The sequence below is a fragment of the Homo sapiens genome, chromosome 16, assembly GCF_000001405.40.
Source record: "Homo sapiens chromosome 16, GRCh38.p14 Primary Assembly".
In the NCBI taxonomy this organism is placed as follows: domain Eukaryota; kingdom Metazoa; phylum Chordata; class Mammalia; order Primates; family Hominidae; genus Homo; species Homo sapiens.
In genome coordinates, this window is record NC_000016.10 from 66,552,551 (window position 1) to 66,579,427 (window position 26,877).

General features: G+C 42.9%; 3 protein-coding genes across 16 annotated transcripts; all 3 read left to right on the top strand.

Annotated features, from left to right (window-relative positions):
• CKLF (chemokine like factor) lies at positions 13 to 13,737 on the top strand. Of its 5 annotated transcripts, none has more exons than NM_001040138.3 (4): positions 26 to 243; positions 5,640 to 5,798; positions 10,572 to 10,667; positions 13,533 to 13,737. In NM_001040138.3, exons 1-4 carry the CDS (start codon positions 166 to 168, stop codon positions 13,539 to 13,541), a joined length of 342 nt encoding a protein of 113 aa, NP_001035228.1. In that variant the 5' UTR covers positions 26 to 165; the 3' UTR covers positions 13,542 to 13,737. The 5 variants fall into 5 exon arrangements, with proteins under 5 accessions (NP_857592.1, NP_857591.1, NP_057410.1 ...); NM_016951.4 differs by lacking the exon at positions 13,533 to 13,737 and adding an exon at positions 13,336 to 13,518; NM_181641.2 differs by lacking the exon at positions 10,572 to 10,667 and having other exon boundaries at positions 13 to 243; positions 13,336 to 13,737.
• CKLF-CMTM1 (CKLF-CMTM1 readthrough) lies at positions 26 to 26,585 on the top strand. Of its 3 annotated transcripts, none has more exons than NM_001204099.2 (4): positions 26 to 243; positions 5,640 to 5,798; positions 24,554 to 24,652; positions 26,281 to 26,585. In NM_001204099.2, exons 1-4 carry the CDS (start codon positions 166 to 168, stop codon positions 26,449 to 26,451), a joined length of 507 nt encoding a protein of 168 aa, NP_001191028.1. In that variant the 5' UTR covers positions 26 to 165; the 3' UTR covers positions 26,452 to 26,585. The 3 variants fall into 3 exon arrangements, with proteins under 3 accessions (NP_001191028.1, NP_001191027.1, NP_001189438.1); NM_001204098.2 differs by lacking the exon at positions 5,640 to 5,798 and adding an exon at positions 10,572 to 10,667 and having other exon boundaries at positions 26,297 to 26,585; NM_001202509.2 differs by lacking the exon at positions 5,640 to 5,798.
• Positions 13,889 to 26,585, top strand: CMTM1 (CKLF like MARVEL transmembrane domain containing 1). 8 transcript variants are annotated; one of them, NM_052999.4, is made up of 4 exons: positions 13,889 to 14,395; positions 17,386 to 17,544; positions 24,554 to 24,652; positions 26,281 to 26,585. In NM_052999.4, the coding sequence occupies exons 1-4, from the start codon at positions 13,964 to 13,966 to the stop codon at positions 26,449 to 26,451; spliced, it is 861 nt and encodes a 286-aa protein (NP_443725.3). In that variant the 5' UTR covers positions 13,889 to 13,963; the 3' UTR covers positions 26,452 to 26,585. The 8 variants fall into 8 exon arrangements, with proteins under 8 accessions (NP_443725.3, NP_851785.2, NP_851786.1 ...); NM_181268.3 differs by having other exon boundaries at positions 26,297 to 26,585; NM_181269.3 differs by having other exon boundaries at positions 13,889 to 14,044.
• Positions 26,586 to 26,877: the final 292 nt, after the last annotated feature.

Here is a 26,877-nt window from a genome sequence, read left to right on the forward strand (position 1 = left end):
GGCGCCGTGCGCATGCGCGCAAGAGAGCGGGAAGCCGAGCTGGGCGAGAAGTAGGGGAGGGCGGTGCTCCGCCGCGGTGGCGGTTGCTATCGCTTCGCAGAACCTACTCAGGCAGCCAGCTGAGAAGAGTTGAGGGAAAGTGCTGCTGCTGGGTCTGCAGACGCGATGGATAACGTGCAGCCGAAAATAAAACATCGCCCCTTCTGCTTCAGTGTGAAAGGCCACGTGAAGATGCTGCGGCTGGTGAGGCCGGGCCGCGGAGGGCGGGAGGCTGATGAAGCTGCTGGGGGGCGGGAGATGTGGGTGTGAAGTGCAAAGCTGAACGCCTGTTTGCTTTTCAACCTCGCTTTGATCAAGATTGAAAGGCAAGGCATGGCCTCCTTGGGGAAGAAGGAGAGAGATACGGCACTGTCCTCCCCTTAGGAGGGTTTAGGGACACACTCATTCATGAAAACCAGAGAGGGCGGGGCGCCGTGGCGCACACCTGTGGTCCCAGCACTTTGGGAGGCCGGGACGGGAGGATCGCTTGATCCCAGGAGTTCGAGGCTGCAGTGAACGTTGATCGCACCACTGCACACAAGCCTAGGCGACAGAGAGGTCCTGCCTCTTTAAAAACAAAAACAAAAAAAAACCCTTTTTTTAAATTAAAAATCAGATCTACCCAAATGGTCTACATTTGGACCCACAAACCGGGTACCCAGGTTACCAGGCGAGACAACTGCAGTTATACCTCTCAGAAGCCCACAAGATTTGAAAGAAAAAAAAAAAAGCCTCAGGGGTTTCGGTGAATGTTGTGTGGACTTCCGTGAGACAGACGTTTGATGTGACTGAGTTCAAGGCTGATACAGCCCAGAACCAGGACAAGGAGAGAACTGCTCGTTTCCGGGAGCAGACTTCCTACCGGGAGCACTGCAGTCACTTCTGAACAGGTTTGGAGGAAGTTGATCATTTGGAGAGAAGTGACCTAGCTAGTTAGAGAAGTGGAAACTATCCTAGTTGAAGGAATCTATTCTAGAAACTCATCATTGGAGGAATTCACAGAGAAACCTTACAGGGAAGGAAAAAATAAATCATTTTAAGTTTTAAAGAGTTGACATGGGAGAGGCAAAATGGAGATAGTTCAAAGTTACAAGGAAAACATTTCCAATTAATGTGAGGAGGAATCTTATATTGGGAGAGCTCCCAAAACTAAATGGCCACTTGGGAAGGCAGTACATTCCCAGACAAAAGTACCAGGCATATGTGAGCACTTGGTGAGGATGTTATAAAGGAGACTCAAACTTAAGGTGAGTGGGTTGAACAAAGTGCATATAAGATCCTTCTCACACCAAAAGTCTGTGATTGTGAGAAGTAGCTTTCATATCATGTAAGTTGAGATACATAAGAGGTTTAGAAACCACTCTGGAGTTGAGGGAAGGAGAAATAACTTTTGATTGGGAGTAAATACTCAGGGCAAAAGTGACCAGAAGGTCTGGGATCTTGAACACTGAAAAAGGAAAGATCTTGAACACTGAAGGGGGAACCATGTGAGAATGGTCCTGTGAGAATGGTTAGTTTTTGATATATTAATTCTCTCAACAAACCATTTGAATACTTAATATGGTCCAAACTCTGGGCTAGGAGCTGGAACAGCAAAGACGAACCAGGACAAAAATCCCTGACTCATGGAGTTCTTCAGTTTAATTATGAGACAGACACATGAGCAGATAGTTAAGATATGTGATAAGATGGAGATAGAACACAGAAGCGAGGCGTCTAACCAAGGAGAGGTGTCAGAAAAAAGCTCTTCCTAGAGCAATCTAGGGTTGGATCTAAGAGCCACCTGAGTAAAGGCATGGAGGCAAAAAATAGCACAATTGATGCAGAGAAATATAAGAAGTTGAGTGTTACCTCATTTATTCAACAAATAATCTGTGTAATGCCTGTCATGTGCCAGGCACTATTCCAGGCTCTTGAAAAATACTAGTGAAAAAAAACAAAGATCCCTGCCCTCGTGGAGTACACATTATTGGGATGGGAGGGCAGGGGAAGCAAACACAATAAATTTTAGTATTCTAGAAGGTGGTACGTGCAGTGGAACGAGAAAAGTAAAAGCCAGGTAAGGGAGTGTAAGGCGGGGAAGGAGTTGCAGAGAAAAGTTGCGTAATGAATAGAATTCTAGGCTTTGTTGAGATGACATCTGATCAAAGATTTGAGTGAAATGAGGGAGTTAGCTATGAGAATACCTGGAAGAAGAGTGTTTGAAGCAGAGAAAATCCAGTGCAGTGGCCTTATGGCAGGAATGTGTGGGAAGGCATCAAGAAAGAGCAAGGAAACCAGCGTAACTGGACTGGGGTGAGTGAGTGAAGATGAGGAAGGTTTTAAGTAAAGTATATGATCTAACTTACATTTTAAAAGTATACTAGGCCAGGCCCGGTGGCTCACCCTGTAATCCCAGCACTTTAGGAGGCCAAGGCAGGCAGATCATTTGAAGTCAGGAGTTCCAGCAGCCTGACCAACATGGTGAAACCCCATCTCTACTAAAAATACAAAAAAAATTAGCCAGGCATGGTGGCGTATGCCTGTAATCTCAGCTACTCGGGAGGCTGAGGCAGGAGAATCACTGGAACCGGAGAGACAGAGGTTGAGGTAAGCCAAAATCACCCCACTGCACTCCAGCCTGGGTGACAAAGTGAGCCTCCGTCTCAAAAACAAACAAAAATATACTAGCTGCTATGTTAACAGTAGATTGGTAGGGAAGGACAGAAGGGGATTGCTGCAGGGGCAAAGGTAAAACCAAGGAGACCAATTGCAGTAATCTGGGCAAGAAATGATGATGGTGGCTGGTGGTAGCAAAGCAGGTAATAAGAAGTGGCCACATTTGGGATGTAATATTTTGAAAGTAGCACCAACAAGATTTGCTGATGAGCCAGATGTGGGGAAAAAGAGGAGTCCAAGACAGCTTCTGAAGTTTTTGGTCTAAGCAACTGGAAGGATGGAGTCACCATCCACTGAGATGAGACAGCCTATTGATAAAGCAAATGTGAAAAAAGGATCAGGAGTTTGATTCATGTGGATAAATTGTGAAGCAAGTCTTTTCTCAAGAAGTAGACAGGAGCCAAATTGTGGAAGATCTTGAAAACATGGTGAGAAGCAGGCTCTAAAGACCCTGGAGAGCCACTGAAGAATTTTAAATAGATGAAGAAATGCGTAAACAAATTTGCATGTTAGAAATTTCATCATGATAGTTCATGGAAAAGACGATGAAAGGCAGTAGTTGTAAGGATGAAGAGGAGGGAGTGCCCAAAATGTTTAGGCATTAAGTTAGCAGGACCCGATTATTGATCAGTTGGGGAATGGGTAGGAACAGTGATCTTAGGTTCCTGGCATGGGTGATAAGGTAGATTGTGGTACCACCAGTTGAGGTTGTGAATCCAGGAGGAAGGGGCGGGATTTCAGTTTTAGACATGGTGAATTGAGATTCCTGTAGGTTATCCAGATAGGGATTCTAAATGGCTACTTGGTGTGAAATGTGGAGAATGGACCTGGGTTAGAGACCCAGACTCATTGAGTGGAATGAGAATGACAGCATTTTACAGGGGAGAATAAAAGGAGAAGAACCCACCAAGAGAGAACAGTCGCGGAGGTTTAAAATCTCGGAGAACTGACACGGGAGCCAAAAGAAAACACTAGTAGGGGAAGGACAGCCAATGGCAATAACGTCATAGGGGTCCACTAGGATAAGGAATGAAAAATGTTCATTGTAAAACAGCAGCTCAAAGTACTGGAAAAAAAGAAAAAAGCATTCATTAAATTTAGTATTTCTGAAATCACTGATGTTAGCAAAAGCAATATCCATAGAGTGGTAATGTCTGAAATATTATTAGTGAGATATGTAAAAGATAACTGGAAACAAAGGCCAGGAGCTTAGGAAAGATGTAAGAACTGTAAATATAAATCACAGGAGAACACAGTTTGACAGAAACCATAGAAAGGTTTAAGGAAATGGAGTAATCACCAGTGCAAATCACCATGATGAAAAAGGTTACAGAGGATAGGGACTGAAAAAGTGGCCCTTCATTTCATAATCTGTGGGCTGAAGACCTTGGTCCAATAGAGTAATTGGAGTAGTTTGAGATTATGTGTTGCTAATAGTAATTATATTAATTATAAAGAATGAAGTTACTTAGTAACTAGTTATTTGTAATCAAACTGATCAGTTTAGAAGTTTAAAAGAAAGGCATATTTATGCTAATAAAGTAATTGGAAGAATTATGAATAAGTAACCTATATGGACTTAAAATGAGTATGTATATGTTACCAGCTGACAGGATATTTTAAAAGTCTAGCCAGGGAAGACTCTTGACCAAACCATTTACCAAAAACACAGAGCTTTGGAAAGAGCTTTATTTCCTAAGAACATTGACAGAACTCCCCTGGGACCCACCAGCTATTTTTTTCACTTAACATTGCCATGTTCTGTATCTTCATTTGGAAATGAAGAAATTTCAGAGTTTTTTATGTTTTTTTTTCCACTTAAAATAGCATAGATTCTGATTGCATTGTTTAGGTGGGGTGTGTAAAAAATGGTACTTTGGTAATAAAGCTATTAAACATCAGAATTGTTTTTCTCTGACAATTTTTTTTGTTTTTGTTTTTGAGACAGGGTCTAGCTCTATCACCCAGGCTGGAGTGCAGTGGCATCTCAGCTCACTGCAACCCCCGCATCCTGGGTTCAAGCGATTCTCCTGCCTCAGCCACCCGAGTAGCTGGGATTACAGGCACCTGCTACCACACCTGGATAATTTTTGTATTTTTAGTAGAGACAAGGTTTCACCATGTTGGCCAGGCTGGTCTCAAACTCTTGACCTCAGGCGATCTGCCTGCCTTGGCCTCCCAAAGTGCTGGGATTACAGGCATGAGCCACCGCGCCCACCCTGACAATTTGTTTTGAACTTTGCTCCTCAGTATTTTTCATGGCAGCATTCTAAGTTTAAATCTGACAGTAGACTCCAGATTGTTAAGAATTAAGGAGTGATAAATGGATGGTAAGAAATTATAGACAGCCAGTATACAGACTTTTTGAAGAAGCATAACAACAGTAGAAAACAGAACAAGGGTTTCTGTGGGGAGCAGGATAAAAGGAAGGAGTATGTGTGTGTGTATTTTAAAAGAACACAACTGAGATGTTTCTAGGATGATGAGAAAAGGAGCTAGCAGAGGACAGATTGAAAGTACAAGGGGGAACGGAGGTACTTGGTGGAAAAACATCAAGAGAACTGATGTGGGAAGTGATAGTGTCAGAAGCACAAGAGGAATAATTAATTGGACTTAAAACAGAGAGGAATACCCAGTCCTCTAAAAGACAAAGAGAAGTCAATATCATACACTTTAGGCATGGCTGTTTTATATGTGTGTGTATATGGCAGAAACCCCAGTATCTGGTTATTTTTGTTTATTTGGAGATGAGGTCTCCTTATGTTGCCCAGGCTGGTCTTGAACTCCTAGCTTCAAGCGATCCTCCTACCTCAGCCTCCCAAAATGCTGGGATTATAGGCATGACCCACTGTGCCCAGCCTATTATTTTAGAAATTGTCATTTTTACAGTTTAAATTTGTATTCAGTTGTCACTGAATAAATCGTGGGTTTTTTTCTTCTAGGCACTAACTGTGACATCTATGACCTTTTTTATCATCGCACAAGCCCCTGAACCATATATTGTTATCACTGGATTTGAAGTCACCGTTATCTTATTTTTCATACTTTTATATGTACTCAGACTTGATCGATTAATGAAGTGGTTATTTTGGCCTTTGCTTGTAAGTGTTCAGTTTCATCCTTAAATTTTACTTTTTCCTACCATAGTGAGATATTCTAATGAACTCTGTTTTTTGCTTCTCTTAAACCTTTAAGGTAATCTCTGTTAGGCTTAGGAAGGAGGAGCTCTACCCATTGCTAATGTGCCCTGTATTGCTTTGGGAGAGGGTCTCAAGGATGCAGGGCAGCCACAGAGCATAAGTTCTCTGCACCATCTATCAGTAGATGTGGCTGACGCTTCTGTTAGAATTCACTTGGATAGATCTTCTAAAGAAATTTAAATTTAGGACCATGTTAACAAAATTGTAGTGCATTCTTAATCTTTATTACCTATTTGGATGCATGTTAATATGGCCTCAAAATTGGGATAGAGATGGAGACAGATACACAAGTATCTATCCTTGCACATCTTTGGTCACTAAATGGAAAATCAAACTAATTGGGGAGGCTAAAGTACAATGTTATCTCACTTGAAAATATCTGTAGTTATTACTAAATAATGTTGGCACCTCTTATATTTCATAGTATATAGACTGTAACCTGCCATACTCATATAATTAGGAATAACTGCCCAGTGGAATGCCCAGATGGTTCTGAAAACTGTCAAATTGGGCAGATTGAAGTTATTCGTTAAGATGTATGCAGCCCCTCAGCCTGGACTAGAAGCTGATTCTAAGAAAAACTGAGTGACTTCTCCTCTGTCCTCTTGCAAGTCTCATTCCCAGCATCCTGTCTCTGTAGGTCTCCCTCCTGAATCCCCCTGCTGCCCTTCTCCTCTTTGGCTGGACTGATTGCTGCCATGTCTTCCTTGGCTGCAGTGGTCTCATCCTCTTGGATGCCACAGTGCTAATATCCAAGCTGATAATTCCTATTAACAAGAAAAGACTTTAGAGCTATTCTTAAACCATAAGCATGCCTTTAAATGGTACCTTCTGGAACCACCTTCAAGGCCAGTGGCAAGCATTTCAGGCAAATCATAAGCTTTTTAAAAGTCCTAAAAGGGAAAAGCTGGGAAATAGGATCTTCATAGAACCTCTCCTCTCAAAACTACTTGATGTACACTTCAGAGCTGGACTTCGTTGGAGGGAGGTCTAGGAGAAGAGATTACAAAGTCTTCCTCAGTTGGCCCTCATTTAGTGGCAGAAAGGGTTAAACTAAATTTTTCTAAAGATTTCTTCAAGAGGATAATGAACACTGGTCCACATCCTCTAGGTCTTGTATAGTTGCTTTTCACACTCTGCTTCTCTAGAGTTTAATAAAACTAACACATTTTAGCCTTTCTTTTTTTCCAAACATAATTCCTTGGAGTTTCTTACATGTCCCAGTAATAAACTGGGAGCCAGGAGTGTAACAGAATACACTGAGAGAGAGTAGCTTATATGTAGCACACTGAAAGGAATAGTCCCCAAATCTCTAAGGATCAAACTTTACTGATATTGTATCTCTTAGAAATGGGGTGTTATATGGGTAACTAAGTTTTTGCTCCATTACGAAACCCAGAATCCTTTCTGATCTTGATCTAATGAAATTATTTATTCAGCAAATGTTAAGTATTTGCTAATCCTAGATTCTGTAATTGGTTCTTTGGTTAAGACAAAACAAAAACCTTGTACCTCAGAAACTTTAAATGCACCCAGGAAGCAACACAGAGAATATAGGTGCTATGAGAGATATACACCTAGGATGGCGTGGATGCAACCCAGCAAGGGAAAGGGACCAAGTCACAGTAGGCTGTGAAGAAAAAGTGCCCAAACTGAGGGCTGAAGGATGAAACGTAGTTAGCAGATGACTGATACAGGGAAGGGAAAGTGCTTTTCTGCTAGAAAAGCAGCAGCATATGTGAGGGTCTAGGTGGAGAAAGAGCATGACCCTCCAGGACCTGCAGGTGTATCTGAATGGTTGGGTATTGAGTTGTGAACAAGAGCTGGGGCAAGAGTGAGGTTTGTGAAAACAGGGTCAGGGCATACAAGGGTTTGTGTGCTGTGGACTTTAACCCAAAGGCTAATGGGAGTTTTTGGAGGTTTTTAAGTAGGAGAGTAGCATGATCAGATGATCAGCCTCCATGTCTTGAGAGGATACTGAGAGAGGAAGAATATGTTTAAGGAAGGGTGCAGGAGAGCAGTATGTAATGAGTTTAGCTTGATAAATACTAGATTTTAGTTACTTAAAAGATATTCATATGGAGATATTCAGAAATGGTGTGAAACTTAAGAGGAGCTAGAGCTGCCGTTTTAGGAATCATCACCTCGTGATATTAACTGAGCTCGGACTGGCCACAATAGCTCAGAGAGAGTGTAGAGAGAGCTGAAGGTAAAACTGGGAAACGCCAACATATGAGATGAGGAGTGGCCAGAAAAGGCAGGAGAGCACCCAAGTGTGACTGGTGTCACCGAAGCCAAGATGGGAATACATTTCAAGAAGAATGGACACATTTAAACAGAAAGATAAGTATACACACACACACACACACACACACACACACACACACACACTTTCTCTCTCTCTCTGCCCCCTGGTGACCTTTTCCAGAGGAGTTTGCCTCCAGTGGGCAAGTGACAGGAAAGTTGTAGGACTGAGCAGGCAAGGAAAGAGACAACTAGAGGGGTCATCTCTGAACTGAGGAAATATGGCCAGGGACAAATAAAAGTAATGAATAGAGTGAGGTCCCTGCAGAGTAGAATTGGAGCCAGAGCACAGGTGGAGAAGTTGCCTGGGGATGTTACCTAAAGTGTAGGACACAGAGATGGCTGACTGTTCCAATTAATCTGTAGGTGGGGAAAAGGTAACTTAGAAGTACCTCCATCTGCTAGCCACTGCCTTTGCTAACTAGGAGAGGGCTTGGTCATCTCCATTCAAATTGTCCCAAAGTTGTTGTCCCTGATAACAGTCTGTAGAGCAGGCCTTCTCTGATTGTTCCCCCCCGAGAGCCCCAAATGACAGAAAACACAAAAAGCCAGTCAACCCATGGCTTTGAGGAGGTATCTAAGCATAGGCTCAGAATTCCTTTGAAATCCCTATTTTTGTAATTAAGTTTACATTCTACTCTGTGGCATATAGATGTTTTCATTTTTAATATAAAATAAATGGTCTAAATTACTCTTGAGGATCATTGGTGTTTCGGGGCAGGCATATCTTTTTTTTTCCCCCTGTGGTTCTCTGCACTCCCTAGAACACCACTTTGATCCAAAGCCATCTATAAACCCTTGCCCAGATTGCTCACAGGAGGCAGGCTGCCTGTCTGAAGTAGGAGTGTGGTCTGTTGCCTTTTGAAGCAGAGCAAATATCCAACACAGAAGAGAGTTAACCTAGAATAGTTGTCTCAGTATCTCCTACAAATGAGAACTTTTTTCTTCCTAAGTATATCTGATCTTGCCCTACCCCCATTGAACCTGTTCCTACTTTCTTTCTAATAACTGCTTTTCTAAATTACCAGGGTTTTGCAGTTTGCTATTTGGGTTATTCCTTCCTGCCTGTGGTTATCTGCAAACATACATAAACCTTTCTCAGCTAGACAGTTTACCTTTCCCACGCTACACATCCATTTTAAAAATGTAAAATTGCACTTCTTGACATCACAGTTAAGAATGAAACTGATTTTTACTTTGTAAAAGTATTAAGCGAATGAGCTATATCATCAGCAATAATAACATAATTGGTCATCCATTGCATAGAGATGTCTGTGGGGGTTTCCTGAAAATTACCACTTTCTCTTAAGTGTGTGCTATTTTAAGTTTTATTAATTGCCTTTTTTTTTTTGAGACGGAGTAAAAAAAATTCCACCAGGCTGGAATGCAGTGGTGCAATCTTGGCTCACTGCAATCTCCGTCTCCTGGCTTCAAGCAATTCTCCTGCCTCAGCCTCCCAAGTAGCTGGAACTACAGGCGCTCACCACCATGCCTGGCTAATTTTTGTATTTTTTAATAAAGACAGAGTTTCACCATGTTGGCAAGGCTGGTCTTGAACTCCCAAAGTGTTGGGATTACAGACATGCACCACAGCGCCCAGCATTAATTGCATTTAGTAACTTAAAGTTTGATATACAATGTAGACTACTCTGCATTTTCTTACGTTATTAAAAATGAGCATTTTTACTTCCCATGGCACCCCTTCTACCTTAAACTTTCTACATAATACATCATCTACTTTATTTCCTAATCAGATGAGTTTTCCCTTCAACTACATTTATGTTAAGTAAAAAAGAAATAAAAAGCTTTTTAAGTAAATGATTGGCATATCACAGGTAAAAGAAAACCACTAGGTGTCATTATAGACCAGATACTATCTAGGTATCATTTTACTGTGACATTTTGGTTTCCTGAAAGATAGATGCTAAATAAATTTGTTTAATAAAATGAAACTTTCAAAATATTTAGGAAGCTGACTCCTTTTGTTGCAACAGAGTCTCACTCTGTTGCCCAGGCTGTAGTGCAGTGGCATGATCTCAGTTCACTGTAACCTCTGCCTCCCGGGTTCAAGCAATTTTTGTGCCTCAGCCTCCCGAGTAGCTGGGATTACAGGCATGCACCACCATGTCTGGCTAATTTTTGTTTTTTTTAGTAGAGACGGGGTTTCACCATGTCGGCCAGGCTGGTCTCAAACTCCAGGCTTCAAGTGATCTGTCTGCCTTCCAAAGTGCTGGGATTACAGGCGGGAGCCAGTGCATTCTGCCTGCTGACTTTGTTTTTTGTTGTTGTTGTTTTTTTGTTTTTTGTTTTTCCTTTTTAGCATTGCTTGGTAGTCTTCATGTAAGGCTCAGCTTTATTGTGTGTTTTTAGGATATTATCAACTCACTGGTAACAACAGTATTCATGCTCATCGTATCTGTGTTGGCACTGATACCAGAAACCACAACATTGACAGTTGGTGGAGGGGTAAGTGGAAGTCTTTCTGCTTGCTTTCTTCAGGTTTTATCAGAATGCAAATTTACTTGGAAAACAGATGTAAGAATAGAAAGCTATACTATATTCATCCTTGAGATTCCTAGGCCAATATACAATGCCTAGTGGCTTAATATTTTTGTCTGTGAATGCTTGCCCTGATTAACATGAAGGAGTATGATTTTATACTAGAAGCAGAATTAACCCAATAAAGGGGTTCCTACAGATTTCTTATAGGTACGTAGGGCTAGACTAGACTGACAAAAGCTACTGGAATCAGTTACAGCACTTAGCTCTGAGAAACCTGATGTCAAGCAAAACAAAACAAAAGGATGGATGAGTTTCATAGCTCTCCCTTTTACAGAAAAGGATACATACCATTTGTTAAGATGAGACAGACTGTTTTGAGCTCAGTTATTTCTTGTTCAGATCCTTCAGATAGAATATAATAGATGATGTCCTTACGGTAAGAGAACATTGGCAGGGCACCTTGCAACTAAAGGATCATTTTGAACCCGGCTTGAAGAGAAGCAGATCAATTCCATCAGACCTCATCCTAGAAAGCAAGCCAGAATATGACTCAAGTAATTTAGTTATAGTTCTATCTGATATTCTTCTAAGATTTCTCATACAAGGTTCAAAATCATTTAGCTTTTCTAGGTTCTGACCTAGAGAATTGAATTAGAAAGTTCTTAAATAAATCTTCCTACTTCCATGTTCTTTCATAGTATGGGTCACTTAGGAGAACTCTCAGCCATATATGTCAGAAGCCATGATTTTCATCTCCCTTAGGCCCTGAGCAACTTCATGAGGAGTCAGAATTATTCTAGAAATGAGATAGCTCTGTATCAATTTCCCCCAGTTGTTTTTGAAGATAATACTCATCTTTCTACTGTGAAGAAGGAAGGACCAGGCATAGGATTTACTTTCATTCACTTTTTTACTCATTCATTCATTTACTCATTTCTTAAGTGTACTTTGGCAGGGGCTGACAAAATATAGAGCTGTGCTATTCAGTATAGTAACCATAGTTGCTAGCCACATGGGGCTACTGAGCACTGGAAATGTGGCTAGTCTGAATCAAGATCAGCTGTAAGTATAAAAATACACATTTAATTTCAAAGATTTATTACCCCCAACAAGGAATGTAGAATATTTTGTTAATAACTTTGTTGATTACATGTTAAATGATAATATTTTAGACATACTGAGCTAAATATATTAAAATCTATGACTTATTTTTTTCTTTTTTTTTTTTTTCTGAGACAGAGTCTGTCTCTGTCGCCCAGGCTGGTGGAGTGCAGTGGTGCTATCTCAGCTCACTGCAAGCTCTGCCTCCCGGGTTCACGCCATTCTCCTGCCTCAGCCTCCCAAGTAGCTGGGACTACAGGCATCCGCCACCATGCCTGGCTAATTTTTTGTATTTTTAGTAGAGACGGAGTTTCACCGTGTTAACAAGGATGGTCTCGATCTTCCGACGTCGTGATCCGCCTGCCTCGGTCTCCCAAAGTGCTGGGATTACAGGCGTGAGCCACCGCGCCCGGCCGACTTTTTTCTTTACATTTATAATGTGGCTGTTAAAAAATCTTTAATTATGTGGCTGTGTTACACTGGTGACTCATATTATGCTGCTTTCAGACAGCACTGACTAGAGTGTGAGCCCCGTCCTCAAGTTGCTTAGAGCTTAACACAGGAGACACAAGTGGAAACCGCTGTATATAAGCTGTTGACAGGGAGCTGCATGGTGCAGAAAAGAGGAAACTACCTCTCTGGCAGTGGAATTGCTGTTTGCTGAGAATAAAGGAAAAAAAATGGAAAAGGTTCCAGGTAGAGGAGCCAATAGTGTACAGAGTGCCAGTCATGAAAAGATTGGTAGGAGGTATTCAGTGTGGTCAGAACCTAGGAGGCAGTGGCTTGAGACTCTGGGTGGAAAAGGAGACTGTGAGAGCCATGTCTGGAGCCAGGAAGCCAAACTTCCTGATGACTGGAAGAAGCTGACCAAACAGCATGCAAGGAATGACATCCCCCTCTCCCACCCCAGGCACCAGCTCTCAGATAGCCATCAGAGTGTCTGAAGGCCCCCACGTGTTCTTAGTTATTGTTTTTATCTAATTTTACTTTCTTAAGGTCTATTTAGAATCTCACCCTTTAAGCAGATGTAGCCTAGCCTTTGAGAGTTCACTTTGGATCATCTTATTAACTCCAGTTTTCTGGAGCTACAGTCCCCATGATTTAATATTGAGCTGGTGTTAACTTTGACCTTTTCTTCTGTAGAGTTTGTCAGTAGAGAAGTCAGAGTTGAACACTGGGGTTAGAAATATTAATAACTAAATATCCTCAGTAGGGCTTAAAAGAATACATGCAAGAGCAGGTCAAGAGATAAAAGCAAACAAGTATGGATTTCAGAGCCCACACTGCTTTATTATTTTTCTGCTCACTTAAATTATCTTTTCTCTTTCTATAGGCAAGTATTTAGAAAACTTAGCAATGAGGAGAATAAGATGATCTCTGAAGTCTCTCCATGTTAGTATTAGATGAAGCACAGGGAGCAATCCGAGTACCCTAGCAAGAGAGGAATCTGGTGGGCAGACCACTTAAAACTTGTGTGAATGACAGGAGTGGGGACCATGGTTAGGGCAGTGACACTTGTCTTTCTTTCCAGGTGTTTGCACTTGTGACAGCAGTATGCTGTCTTGCCGACGGGGCCCTTATTTACCGGAAGCTTCTGTTCAATCCCAGCGGTCCTTACCAGAAAAAGCCTGTGCATGAAAAAAAAGAAGTTTTGTAATTTTATATTACTTTTTAGTTTGATACTAAGTATTAAACATATTTCTGTATTCTTCCACATATTTTCTGCAGTTATTTTAACTCAGTATAGGAGCTAGAGGAAGAGATTTCCGAAGTCTGCACCCCGCGCAGAGCACTACTGTAACTTCCAAGGGAGCGCTGGGAGCAGCGGGATCGGGTTTTCCGGCACCCGGGCCTGGGTGGCAGGGAAGAATGTGCCGGGATCCGCCTCAGGGATCTTTGAATCTCTTTACTGCCTGGCTGGCCGGCAGCTCCGAGGTGTGGGGTTGCAGAGATTTTGAGTTCTCGGGCTAGGCGGTGGCATTGCACCCCCTGTGGCAATGAGGGTGGCTGAAGGGCTCGGCTTGTCGGTGGGGCAGCGAGAGCCGGGTGCACGCGCCGGGGAGGTAGCCAACAGCCGTTGGGACGCGACGCTGGTTCCCAGGGGAGAGCCAGCCGCTGCCGCGGCACTGGTTCAGACGGCCAGGCCCTAGGGACCCACCATGGATCCTGAACACGCCAAACCTGAGTCATCCGAGGCACCTTCAGGGAACTTGAAACAACCGGAGACTGCCGCAGCCCTGGCAAGTAGCGGCAGCGTAGTGAGTTCTGTACCCAAGGCACAGCGCAACATCTCAGCGAAGACCGCACCCCGGAAGCACCCCGCAGTCTCAATTCGCAGTGCGCAGTCCGCAGCCGCCGCACGTCCCCAAGGCAGTGAGGGCACCGCACCCTCAAGGAAAGCCACCACACGCCCACCCCCAAAGCCCACACTCCCACCCCCCACGCCCTCTGCACACACTGAATCCAAACTCTTAAATGAGATGGCGATCAAAGAGCGCGTGGAGGGCCGAGCCAAAGTCCCGTACAAATTCAGGGACAGCCTCAAACGTTTCTCCTTCTCGCCCACTGGAATGTTGAAGATCCTGAGACTGGTGAGCGGAGAGCTGGTGAGACCTAGCTGGGCGGATGTGGCCGGCAGTGGCCTCGGGGAAATGCCCACGGGGTGCCAGCTCCAGAAACCTTCCATAATTCACTTTGCCACTCACCTTTGTTTTGCCTCACCTTTCCTCCCCACCACCCCCTGCTCCCCACACACTAAACCTTTCCTACTAAACTTGCCTCTTTTTTTCCCTATTTTTTCTTTTTTTTTTTTTTTTATTATACTTTAACTTACGGGGTACATGTGTAGAACGTGCAGTTTTGTTACATAGGTATATACGCGCCATGGTGGTTTGCTGCACCCATCAACTCGTCACCTACATTAGGTATTTCTCCTAATGCTATCCCTCCCCTAGTCCCCCACTCCCTACAGGCCCCAGTGTGTGATGTTCCCCTCCCTGTGTCCATGTGTTCTCGTTGTTCAACTCTCACTTATGAGTGAGAACATGCAGTGTTTGGTTTTCTGTTCTTGCGTTAGTTTGCTGAGAATAATGGTTTCCAGCTTCATCCATGTCCCCGCAAAGGACATGAACTCATCCTTTTTTATGGCTGCATAGTATTCCATGGTGTATATGTGCCACATTTTCTTTATCCAGTCTATCATTGATGGACATTTGGGTTGGTTCAGTTTCCTCTCACAAAGGAAATTAGGGAAGCAATGAAGATAATAGGAATTTATAAGTTAGGAAACAAAAATAATAGAATCAGTCAATACAAGAGCTGTCGTTTGAAAGTCCTATTAAATTGATAAGCCATTGGCCAACCAAGAAAAAAAGGGGGAAGAAAAGACATATATTTAAAATTAGAAACCAGAAGGGGAAAATAATCACAAACATCAGCAAAACTGAAAGGATCTACAGGAGTACCTTGCAAAATAGATGTGAATAATTGGATGAAATGGTTGATTTTCCAGAATAATGTAAATCACCAAAACTGATCCCAGAATAGGGAAAAATCTAAACAGGGCAATATAAACATAGAAGAAAATGAGAATTTTAGCAAATGAGTATCTTTCAAAAATGTATCAGGCCCAGACCTTTTTACAAGTTAACTCTTTCAAGCCTTCATGGGATATAATTCTGACACTACTCTAACTTTGTCAAAGAATAGAGAAAGAAGAAATAACTTCTGAACTATCTTTACACAATCAGTATAATACTGATAGGAAAACTTGACTGAGTTCAGAAAAAGAAAACGAAGTAGAGATCTCACTTGCATCAGAACAAAATGTCAATCTATTAGCAGATAATATTCATCAGTATTTTTTGAAAATACAATACCACAAGAAAGAAACAGGATGATTCAATATTAAGATTCTATTAAAATAATTCACTGTATTAGAAGTAAAAGTGAAAATGAGATTATATCTATCACATTATAAAAAATTAGGAGATTATGTCACAGAACATGTGACAAAATTCAACATTTGTCCCTGATTGCCAAGAAGGGAGACCAGTAAGATAGGAGTATATAAATATTCCATTGACATTGTAAAAATAAACATTTCAAACTAAGAGTCAGCATATTTAATTAAATATCAGAAGTATTATTTATTAAATGAGGGGAAAAATGATGCCTACACCATGAGTCAATTTTTTCTGAAACCACTAGTCATCATAATTAGGAATGGGAAATAATATTTGAAAAGAGGTGGCCAGGCGCAGTGACTCACATCTGTAATCCCAGCACTTTGGGAGGCCAAGGTAGGCAGATAACCTCAGTCAGGAGTTCAAGACCAGCCTGGCCAATATGGTGAAACCCCGTCTCTACTAAAAATTCAAAAATTAGCCAGTCTTAGTGACACGCGCCTGTAGTCCCAGCTACTCGGGAGGCTGCGGCAGGAGAATTGTTCGAACCCAGGAAGCAGAGGTTGCAGTGAGCTGAGATCACACCACTGCACTCCAGCCTGAGCGACAGAGCAAGACTGTCTCAAAAAAAAAAAAAAAGGAGGTAAAATATATGCTTTCTTTCAGCTAATGTAATTGCATATCTAGAAAAAAACAAATCAACTGGAAACAATTTAGAGCAAGATGATTTAGTCAGGTGACTCGTTATTGTGTTAATAAATAAAAGCTTTCCTAGACAAATAACCACTTAAAATATAAGAAAATATTTCTGTTTACAACAGTCATCAAAAATGATCAAATATCTAAAAATAAGTGAAATGTGATACACATATGGGAAGAAAACTTTAAAACTCTCCTGAGAGATATTTTTTAAAAACCACTAAAATAACTGGAAAGATATATTTTGTTCTTGAGAAAAACTAAATTCTGTAATTTTTCCAAATTATAAGTAAGTATTTCATTTAGAAATCCCAACTAAAATGCCAACAGGCTTAGTCTGGGGAACTTGACCAACACAAACATGGGAGACATAAACAGTCTGAGAATGAGTAAGAAGAGGAAGACTAGGTGAAACAATAACTCAGTATAGAGTGAATTGTCTATAACTTAGAGTACTAGAGAAGGAAGCACCAATTCAATGGAAGAGAACAGTCTCAAGAGACCGAACTACATCTGAGAATTTAGTATACAATAAAGGTTGGATTTCAGATCAATAGGGATAATACTGGCATTTCCCAATAAATGATGTTGAGATAATCAGCAGCTGTTTGGAAAGAAAGAAAACTGAGGCTCTTCCTCACTGTTTCTACCAAAATCAATGTATATGTACTTTACCAGTATATATACAGACTTCTTTCTAGTATGAAATATAAACTGTTAATAGTGGTTACTTTTAAGGAGAGAGACTAAGGTTGGGTTGGGGGAAGAGAAAGAAATTGGTATTATTTTATCCTTCTATACTGTGTGCTTTTTTTATTATTTTCATGTATTTCATTTCTTCAAAATGTAAGAAATGTTAAAAATGTATGTGCAAAACAATACAGGCCACTGTACTGTGATATAATCAGATTTACATTCTGACAATGTAGATTTTTTTAAATCATGCATTAAAACAAATCCTGTTTCTTTTATTGCAGAGTCTTATCTTAGGAGCATTAGCTTGTTTCATCATCACCCAAGCCAATGAGTCATTTATAACAATCACAAGTCTGGAAATCTGCATTGTCGTTTTTTTTATTCTAATATATGTGCTAACCCTTCACCACTTGCTGACCTATTTACATTGGCCCTTACTTGTAAGTGTTCATTTTTACAATTCTTCAAATCCAAGCTTTGCCCTCAGCCCCAGAGTAAGGGCTCTCCTTAAGTGAAAACAACGGAGCTATCTCTCTAGACAAGGACATAGCTGAGCTGTGACAGTTAGGGTGTTGCCCTGGTCCAGAAGGATTCCTTGAACCCTTGTGCCTGCAGGACAGCCAACACACCGCTGCTCCAGCCCTGAGTGTAAAACCCCTCATTATGGCACTAGACACATGGTACTTTTCAGCTTGTCCTAAAAAAATATATATACTTAGTATATAAAGTAGGTAAGCACATTTCTCAGCCATTGCTTGTACAACAGTGCATGCTTCTACTTTGCAGAGAGCACTCTGATTATAAACATTCTCCCCAAAAGCAAAAGTTGATATGATGGCATTGTAGAAAATTGCCGTGCATACACTTAAAGATTGTAGTCAACCTGTGTGTGTGTGTTAGGGTCCATATCACAAAGAGGTGCCGGACTATCCAGAAAAAGACATTACAGAGCCTTCTTTAATAGCTTTTCCCAGACTTTCACATTCTTTGCCAACTGAACAATTGCTAAAGCTAACCCCTCAGGTCTCAGACTAGAGAGGCAGTACGGTTTTGTCCAGAGGCAGCCATAGGCCCAGATTCTGGTCCTGCCACCTTACTAGCTATGTAACCTTTAGCCTCAGTTTCCCCATTTAAGAAATACAGAGAAGGAAAAGTATGATAATAACTACCTCATAGGGTTCCTGAAACATTTAAATGTGTGCAAAGCCAATAACATAGTATGTGACACAAATTAAATATTCTAATGTCCAAAAAGAACAGCCACCCATCAGACCCATCAGATAGCTGGGTGGCGTTTGCCATTCTGTCTTGCGCTGTGAACAATCCTAATTCAGAGCTTAGGCCTCTTCCACATCCCACTTCCTTATAGAACATTTTTCTAACCTTAAAGTCAGAATGTTCCTTTTGAGCTAAAACTCAAACATTGTCTTCAAATCTGTGAGAGATTTTCTCAAAGGCTGCTGAGCTCTCTCTGTCCCACAGAATGCCGAGTACAGGAAGCAGACAAAGCAAATATGAGCAACTTTAATTGAACATGTGGAAGACCCTTTTAGTTATGGAGAGGTTTCTCAGGGGAAACTCAAATCTCTGTCCGTGGAAATTTTCAAGAAGGGAAGGTAAAGTAACCATTTTTGAGCATATACCATGTGCCAGATACTTTTTCATGTCACCTTATTTAATCCTCACAACAACCCAGTGAGGTTATGGTCACCCCTCACCCCTCATTTAACAGATGAGAAAATTGGATTAAAGACATTCAGTTGCCAATTGAATTCAATTCAGTAGCCATATGTAGGTGCCAGAAACTCAGATATGCACCCAGGTCTATCTGACTCTAAAGCCCAGACTCTTTGCAGACTTTACAACCTATTATCTTGTGATGGTTTTCTATCTCCATTCTCCATTAAGGTAAGAAACTCAGTGAAACTATGTCTTTATGTCCTCCTCAGCTTCTCTAAATTTTATCTCTGTATCTTGTTTCCTCATGCTTTTCTTAAAATACAGCACCAAAGGTGAATTGGTTATCCTGGTGGGTGTACACAGGCCCTTGGGGGTGGGTGACTGATGGCTCCACAGCACCATCAGCTGTGGTCAGGAGGATCAGAGCCCTCTGAGAAATGGACTCATGCAGGCTGGGTCCACACATAAAGCTGGAGAGGGCCAGGAGACATCATACTTTGCTGTAGGGTTCAGTGGTAATGCCCAAGAAGTATCCCAGACAAAGGTAAGAACTAGGATCTCCTGAGCATGAACCGTGAGTGTCCTATGAGAGAACCTGTTCTCACAGTGGTCACAGGAAGTTCAGCCCAGCTCTTGCAGGGTTACAGGCCTTTGGTCAACTCCAATAAAGCCAGGCCCCCTTGCTGTGTCTGTCTTAAGTGACAGTATCCTCTTTTTTGGGGATGACTGGGAGCCCAGAGGTGATTCGGAGCCCCTGTCCTTTCCTGCTACTGTCCTCGAGAGCATGGGCCAGACCTAGCACAGCACAGGATATGCCTTGTGAGCTCCCAGGAGCTTCATGGTGGGGAAACTCTCTGTTACCAAGATGGTTGCCCAGTTATTCTGATGTTCAGTTCACACTAGCAGGACACATACTGAGCAACCACACAGTTGGTCAGATGGTAAGTGATTTAATTAACTTGGAAGTTTTTGAAAAAGACTCATCAAAACAGGACCCAAATTGTGTTCTCTTCTCCTATCCAGTCCCTTCCTTTCAAATGTGCTCTTTCAGATTCTGTGAGATGAAGGATGTGTACCTACACAATTTTTCAGAGGGGCAAGTAGCTACACTGGGAGGCCTTGGCACAGTAGGGAATGTGCTAGTTTTGTGAGGGTATTGGTGCTAGGAGGTGATGACTTGGCACTTCAGAAGGTAGGCAGGCTTAGAATCAAGCTTCAGGAGTCACTTGGGACCTTATGATAAGGTCAGTGCAGGAAGCCACAGAACACACGGTCAATTTCATACTAGAACTGTTTGAGTCGGGCTCTGCACAGCTTCAGAGGCTTGCCCACAGCTGAGAGTGCCCAGCATGCAGCTACCACTTCCTTTCAGCCCTTCCCTCCAGGCAAGAAGGCTTGGCTCCCAGGAGGTATGGGATTAGGGTAAGGAGTACTGACTTTAAGTGGCGATTTCTAACTTAAAGGCTCATAAAAGGATAGAGTTCCTTATTTCCCTATTCCGATTATTGTTTGAAAAAGGGGTGAGGGTAAAAGTCTCCACCAGGGAGACAGACTGTGATACATCAGGGCTTGGACTCAGCAGGGAAGCCCCAAAGAGAACTTACTGCAGATACAGGTGACCTGCTCAGATCTGTGGGCTCTGGGACCATATTTTGTCAAGGCCGCCTCCTCTGGACAGAGGATGGACCCATACTCAGTCTCTGAGTTGCAGCTGTGAAGGGTGTGCCAGGGACCCTGACACCATGGGAAAGACACAGGTCCTGCTTTCAACCCCTAACCTATGTTAGGGCCTATGAGGTCTCCTCAGATGGGCTCTTGGCGTTCTTGATTCATGTGAACTCACAGAATAAATGTGCCAGCTTCCACAGCACTGGTTTTACCTGCAGACTTGAGAGTGGAATTAAATCAGTAAATAAAGTTAATTTAAAATTTAAACCCATTTTTACCAGCATAAGTCTGCATCAAAGCTAGGAAAAGTACAATTTTCCTCACCCCACACATGCTCTTCATTTTTAGGTTTACCAACTCGCCCCACTCTAGCCTAGTGTCAGGTACCAAGATCGTAAGAAATTATGAATTTGAATTATTGTCTTCTAAATAGCTCATATTTTAAACACTTCTACATCATAAAGAATATAATCCAGCATGGTCAGAGAAACTGAGTTCTGGTGAAGCAGATGTTTTTGCCAACAGAAAGCAATTTTTTAAAAGGAATAAACATTTTAAACTAAAACAAAAAATGAAACCAATGAAAGTTGCAGTTAATTGAATACCAGATAATATTCATTGTATGTAAATTCCTATTACAAATACTACATTTTGTGAAACAAATCATGTTTAACGTTTTTCTTTTTTTTTTTTTTTTTTTTTGAGATGGAGTCTCACTGTGTTGCCCAGGCTGGAATGCGGTGGCACGATCTCGGCTCACTGCAAGCTCCACCTCCCAGGTTCAAGCAATTCTCCTGCCTCAGCCTCCTGAGTAGCTGGGATTATAGGCACGTACCACCATGCCTGGCTAATTTTTGTATTTTTGGTAGAGACAGGGTTTCACCATGTTGGCCAGGCTGGTCTCGAACTCCTGACCTCAGGTGATCCACCCACCTCAGCCTCCCAAAGTGCTGGGATTACAAGCATGAGCCACCGTGCCTGGCCTGTTTAACTTTTTTCCTAATATTCAGTGTTTTTTTTTTTTAATAATAAGCACTCACCATTAAGGCATCTTTCTCTTTCCTACTTATAATTCTACATGATTTTAATATCTCAGAGAATAGTTTGGAAGCTTTATGGAAAAATTGTCAAGAAAAAACACATTTCTCATTTTAGTCAGAGCAGGCTACTTGAGTCAATAAGGTATTTAGCGGAGAAAGAAAAATATAACAAGTAAGGATGGTATTTATGAGGAAAGTGGAAGTCCTCCCACACATGGCCAAGCTCAGCTGCAATTTTAACACAGCCATCAGGGATATCTGTCTCTCTGCCCAGATGAGGCAAATAAGAGAGTCTGTGTCTAAGGCAAAAGGGAGGAGGTTAGCAGGAAGAAGGCTCATGGGCACTCAAATCAGACTGCCCAAGGTCATAGCCACTTACTGGCTGAACAACCCTGGGCAAGTTGCTTACCCATCTGTAAACTGGGGATAATGAGAGTTTGTTGTGAGAATCAAATGAGATCACATATTAACACACTGGCACAGTAAGTGCTCAATAAATGTGAGCTAGCTACAATAGAAATGTTAGATGCAAGGCAAACCTTAGCTCCAATGGACAGTTCAGGAGAGCGCTTCTTTGTAAGTAAGGACCACAGTAAACTATAATGTCCATAGTCCAACAAGGAGATAAAATTATGACAGGAAGTCAAAGACTGGCTGGGCCTGGTCTGTGGTTGGTTTATTATTATCATTAATGATGTGCGTTTGTTCAAATTCTTGTAATCTAAGACCACAGCTGGTTAGTGGTCAGAGAAACTGAGCTCCGGTTATATAGATATTTTGGCCAACAGAGAGCAATTTTTAAAAAAGAATATTTGACTTTTGAAGTTTATACTCTGCTTCTCAGTTGTAAGAATCCTTGTTCACATCTTTGACTACCTTGGTTTATACAATCCTCAGGTGTAAGCTTCCTGCAAAGCTGCAAACCACTGTACCTGCCTCAGTCAGGCCTGCCCACTATGGGCAGACCTCTCGCTCAGCCTGCAGAACCCAGCTGGGACTTACTTCCAACCTCCACCAGCCCTGCTACATACCCCTGTTCCAGCATTAACTACCAGGCACCAAAACAGTAGGCATTAGTGCCTTTCCAAGAGGCAAGTCACATTCCACAAGAGGGCTCCTCGGTCGCCAGCCCCAATAGGAAGAACATCTGGAGTTTGCAGAGAGTTTACTATCTGTTAACATTTTGAGGGCAGATATGAACCTACATTTTGATGCACTCCCACCAGCTACTAGATGCCAGGCATGTTATCAGATGCTTTCAGATTCATTATGCCATTTAATCCTCAGAGCCAATGAACCTCAGTCATTATCCCCATATTACAAATTAGCAAGTTGGCAGATGGGTGATAAAATACGCCCAATCTAGGAATTGGCAGGCCAAAAGAGTTCATCAACAAAAATACTCAACTGACTGGTACTGTATCATTTTGACCCTCCAGACCCATTCCACAGAAAATGCCAAAGATGGATTGGATGCTGCACTTCCAGACTGGGAGAATAGCTCATTTCCTCCTTATTTGGGTGTCCCTCATGGGAGGCAATAGTGAGTTGAGTTCTGATTCCACCCATTATTCAATCCTAGGCAACTGAAAAACTCCAAGCCTCCACCATGTCCTCTGTAAACTGGGGATGATGGCAATTCTGACTTTGGAGGCTGCTTTGTGAGGGTTAAATGAGGTTAAATGATGGACTGGGAAATGCTTGACACATCAAAGAGCTCCATTGGAGCCACTGTGATTCCATGATACCATACACTGGATGGCAGTGCTTCTTGCTGTGTTTGGACGAGTGTGCCAGAAAGGCTGCCATTACCAAGGCAGACCATCAACACTCAAAGACTTGAGCTATTCAGATTAGCTCTCTGGCCCATATTGTGGTTATGTCCTCTGGGCTTTTGCCCATAGCCATACACTGCTGCCACTGACACACTGTGTACTCGTTCCTCCATTATTGTTTTGCTAAGGAAACCCAGCCACTGCTCACCCAGGAGGGCACTGCCACGCACTCATCCTCACTATTCATTTCAGCACACAAAGAAGCAGGTTGGGCTAGCAGTTAAAGAACTCAGGACTGGCCGGGCGCGGTGGCTCACGCCTATAATCCCAGCACTTTGGGAGGCCGAGGCGGGTGGATCACTTGAGGTCAGGAGTTCATGACCATCCTGGCCAACATGAAGAAACCCTGTCTCTACTAAAAAATACAAAAATTAGCTGGGTGTGGTGGCAGGCACCTGTAATCCCACCTACTCAGGAGGTTGAGGCAGGAGAATTGCTTGAACCTGGGAGGCGGAGGTTGCAATGAGCCAAGATCGCACCATTGCACTCTAGCCTGGGTGACAAGAGCGAAACTCTGTCTCAAAAAAAAAAAAGAACTCAGGACTGAAATCCAATTGAAACCCAGAAGAAGGAGCACAATGAGCCTGCAGATGTCGGGGCACACCCAATTCTGGCCATGTTTCAGGAAAGAGCAAAAAACATTCACTCCAGAATATCAGGCCTGCTCCTCAGATGAGTTCATATGCTCTTGGGACACATGAACTCACAGAATAAATGTGGCCCAATTTCCAGAGCGTTGGCTTTACCTGCAGATTTGGGAGAAGAAGTAAACCAATAATTAAAGTGCTCATCTAAAATTTTATTTTTATATTAAAACAAATGAGTTATGGAATAGAATGCAGAATTTACATTAAAAAATATAAGACTTCCCAAAAAAAATCACATTTATGGAGGGCCAATTTGGGATAGGCCCCTTGACCACCAGGTTTTTTCATGCTCACTTTCCTATTCCCTTTAAGGAAAAAGTTGTTAGCTTTTTTTCTAATGGTATTCTTTAATGAAAATAAACCCGTTTCTACAGACAAAGTCATATCTAGGATCTTAAAACCACATAAACTCATGTCTCTGGACGATGTAAGAATTATGCCTCTGAAGGTTCCTCCTCATCTTAATCAAATGGAAGGTTTTTTAAAGGCATCTATTCTTAGATGTGTAATTGACCAGTTTAAATATTTGTGAAATTATATTGTTGTGTAAACTTGATAATTTTCAATTCTTTATTACAGGATCTTACCAACAGTATCATTACAGCTGTGTTCCTTTCAGTAGTTGCCATCTTGGCCATGCAAGAAAAGAAAAGAAGGCATTTACTCTATGTCGGGGGGGTAAGTAGAGGCCTTCATGACTCCATTTAAGATCAGTATTCCAAGACTTTGAAAAGGGAAATTGGCAGACCCCATTATATCATTAACCAAGCAAAATCCCCACTGCCACCCACTCTCCTTCTTGCACTGACTTCTTCAGGTGATATGAAGTTGCACAAACTCTGAGCTCATGAAAATCTTAATTCTAACATGCATTCTCCAAATAGGTACAAAAACAAGAGTCTGCTAAACCCCTTTTGAGAATTGTGGACACTATTTTTGAAATGTTAAGCAAGATCTTTTTGTCTATAAATAGGACTTTGATTTTCTGGACTAGAGAATTGTATTTTAAAGACAGATGATAAGAGAGATTGTAAGGGGGGAAAAGTGCACTGTCTAAAGTGAGGAATCCAGCCTATTCAGGAAGGAAGGAAGGAAAGAAGGAAGAAAGGAAGGAAGGAAACTGCCACATGTTGAAGTGCCCAGTATATGCCCTGCACCAAGCAGGGCACACTCTGACTTAATCTTTACAACTCTCATTTGTACAGATATAGGAACTGAGGTTAAATACCTTGCTCTGGGCCACAAGACTGGGACAAATTGGGACTCAAAAGAAATGGCAGATCAAATGCTTGGAAGATTCAGGGGGTTGGGAGGGGAGGTAGGGCTTTGGTTCAAGAAGTTAAACAATGAGAACAGAAATTAATGCAGAAAAAGAGTTCATTTGAATTCATTCTATAATCAATAAATATCTGTCAATCCCATTGATTGTGCCAGACATGAGCTCAGTGCTGGGGATAGAGCCCTTTCCCCTTTGGGGAAGCTCACAGATTCACTGGGGCAAGACATACCTAGGAAAAGCTCATTAAGCAGCCAGGAATTAAGTGACCATAAAGAGAAACATCCAAGGTTGTCAAGAGTCCCGGAGTGCACAGGGGAATATCTGTGCCATCAGCCCCTGGTCCCCATCGGCTGACTCCGCTATCACTCCTTCTACTGCCAGGGGTTCCCACCCCCAGGTATCCATTTCTTACCTGGATGGCAGCATCCCACCCCACCACGCACTGGTCTTCCTGCCTCCAGCCTGGTTCACCTTCCATTCACCTCATGAACACTGCAAGCAGGTTTTCTGAATCTCACACCTGACCTCCTGATAGAGTCCCAGATCCTGCACCTCTCCAGCCTCAACTCTGCCCCCTTCTCAGCGGCTCTGGAGGTCCTGGCCACACCAGATTCCTTAGAGACCCTAGTCCAGTGCCTGGGTCCTCCTCCTCCCCTTAGGAACTCCTTCCTGCCCTTTGCAAACATAGCCCAAAAGTCTTTCCACGGAGAGGGCTTCTCAGGACCTAACCCCTACCTGCAGCCACCTAGGGCCACTGCCCTTCCCTAGTCCTTTCCGGGTGCCTCAGACATCAAGCGAGGCTACTACTGGCAACAAAATCCCCCACTTCCAAAATCCCTTTTTCTGGGAAAGGCAGAATCCGCCTGCAGCAGCCAATTGGGCAGGCGCCAAGAAAGTAGTGAAGGGTCAGAGGGGACAGGAGGCCACCCGCAGCGCCCACCCTGGATAGGGATAGGTTCGAGAGGTTGCTACTGAGCTGCAAAATAACCCCGTCTTTCCTTCCCGCATATGGTCTTGTATCTGACAGTCCCTGTGTCTCACAGCGGTAATCGTGTGTTGCATCGATGCGTTTGTGGTCACCACGAAGATGAGGACCAACTTGAAAAGATTCCTGGGAGTCGAAGTTGAAAGGAAGCTTTCCCCCGCCAAGGACGCCTACCCCGAAACCGGCCCCGACGCCCCGCAGAGGCCCGCCTGAAGCCAGCCCGGCGCCCTAGCAGATGCACGTGTCTGTCGAATCGCTGCCTCCGAGCCCACCCCCGAGCTCGCATGCTGTCACCCATTCCAGCCTAAATGTGACCATAAAATTAGGGCTGCTGCTTTTATCGAGAACACCTGCTTCCTCTCGTTGCCTTGTGTGAAAGTCGCGTTGTATTTTCCTGCGCTTGGCGCTGCGCCCGCGGAGCTCAGGGCCGTGACCCGGTGCTCGCAGCCCCCCGACCCCGCAGCGGAGCGGCGGCTTACAGACCTGGGGCCACCTGGAGACGCCGGGATGGGACCGCGAGGGCAGCTCCGCGCGGAGGTGGGACCGGCGGGTTGGGAACGGAGTTGGGGCCCGTCGGGGGCCGGCGCGTGGAGGGTGGGAGGATCCGGCCGCTGCCGGGCGGATGGGAGCTGCGCGAGG

What these genes read in the sequence shown, in the direction of transcription:
- CKLF (NM_016951.4), top strand. Translation starts at nt 166, where the DNA reads ATGGATAACGTGCAGCCGAAAATAAAACATCGCCCCTTCTGCTTCAGT. An exon ending in ACGTGAAGATGCTGCGGCTG is followed by an intron (nt 244 to 5,639) that starts GTGAGGCCGGGC and finishes TTTTTCTTCTAG; the next exon opens with GCACTAACTGTGACATCTAT. An exon ending in GGTTATTTTGGCCTTTGCTT is followed by an intron (nt 5,799 to 10,571) that starts GTAAGTGTTCAG and finishes GTGTGTTTTTAG; the next exon opens with GATATTATCAACTCACTGGT.
- CKLF-CMTM1 (NM_001204099.2), top strand. Translation starts at nt 166, where the DNA reads ATGGATAACGTGCAGCCGAAAATAAAACATCGCCCCTTCTGCTTCAGT. An exon ending in ACGTGAAGATGCTGCGGCTG is followed by an intron (nt 244 to 5,639) that starts GTGAGGCCGGGC and finishes TTTTTCTTCTAG; the next exon opens with GCACTAACTGTGACATCTAT. An exon ending in GGTTATTTTGGCCTTTGCTT is followed by an intron (nt 5,799 to 24,553) that starts GTAAGTGTTCAG and finishes TCTTTATTACAG; the next exon opens with GATCTTACCAACAGTATCAT.
- CMTM1 (NM_052999.4), top strand. Translation starts at nt 13,964, where the DNA reads ATGGATCCTGAACACGCCAAACCTGAGTCATCCGAGGCACCTTCAGGG. An exon ending in TGTTGAAGATCCTGAGACTG is followed by an intron (nt 14,396 to 17,385) that starts GTGAGCGGAGAG and finishes CTTTTATTGCAG; the next exon opens with AGTCTTATCTTAGGAGCATT. An exon ending in ATTTACTCTATGTCGGGGGG is followed by an intron (nt 24,653 to 26,280) that starts GTAAGTAGAGGC and finishes TGTATCTGACAG; the next exon opens with TCCCTGTGTCTCACAGCGGT.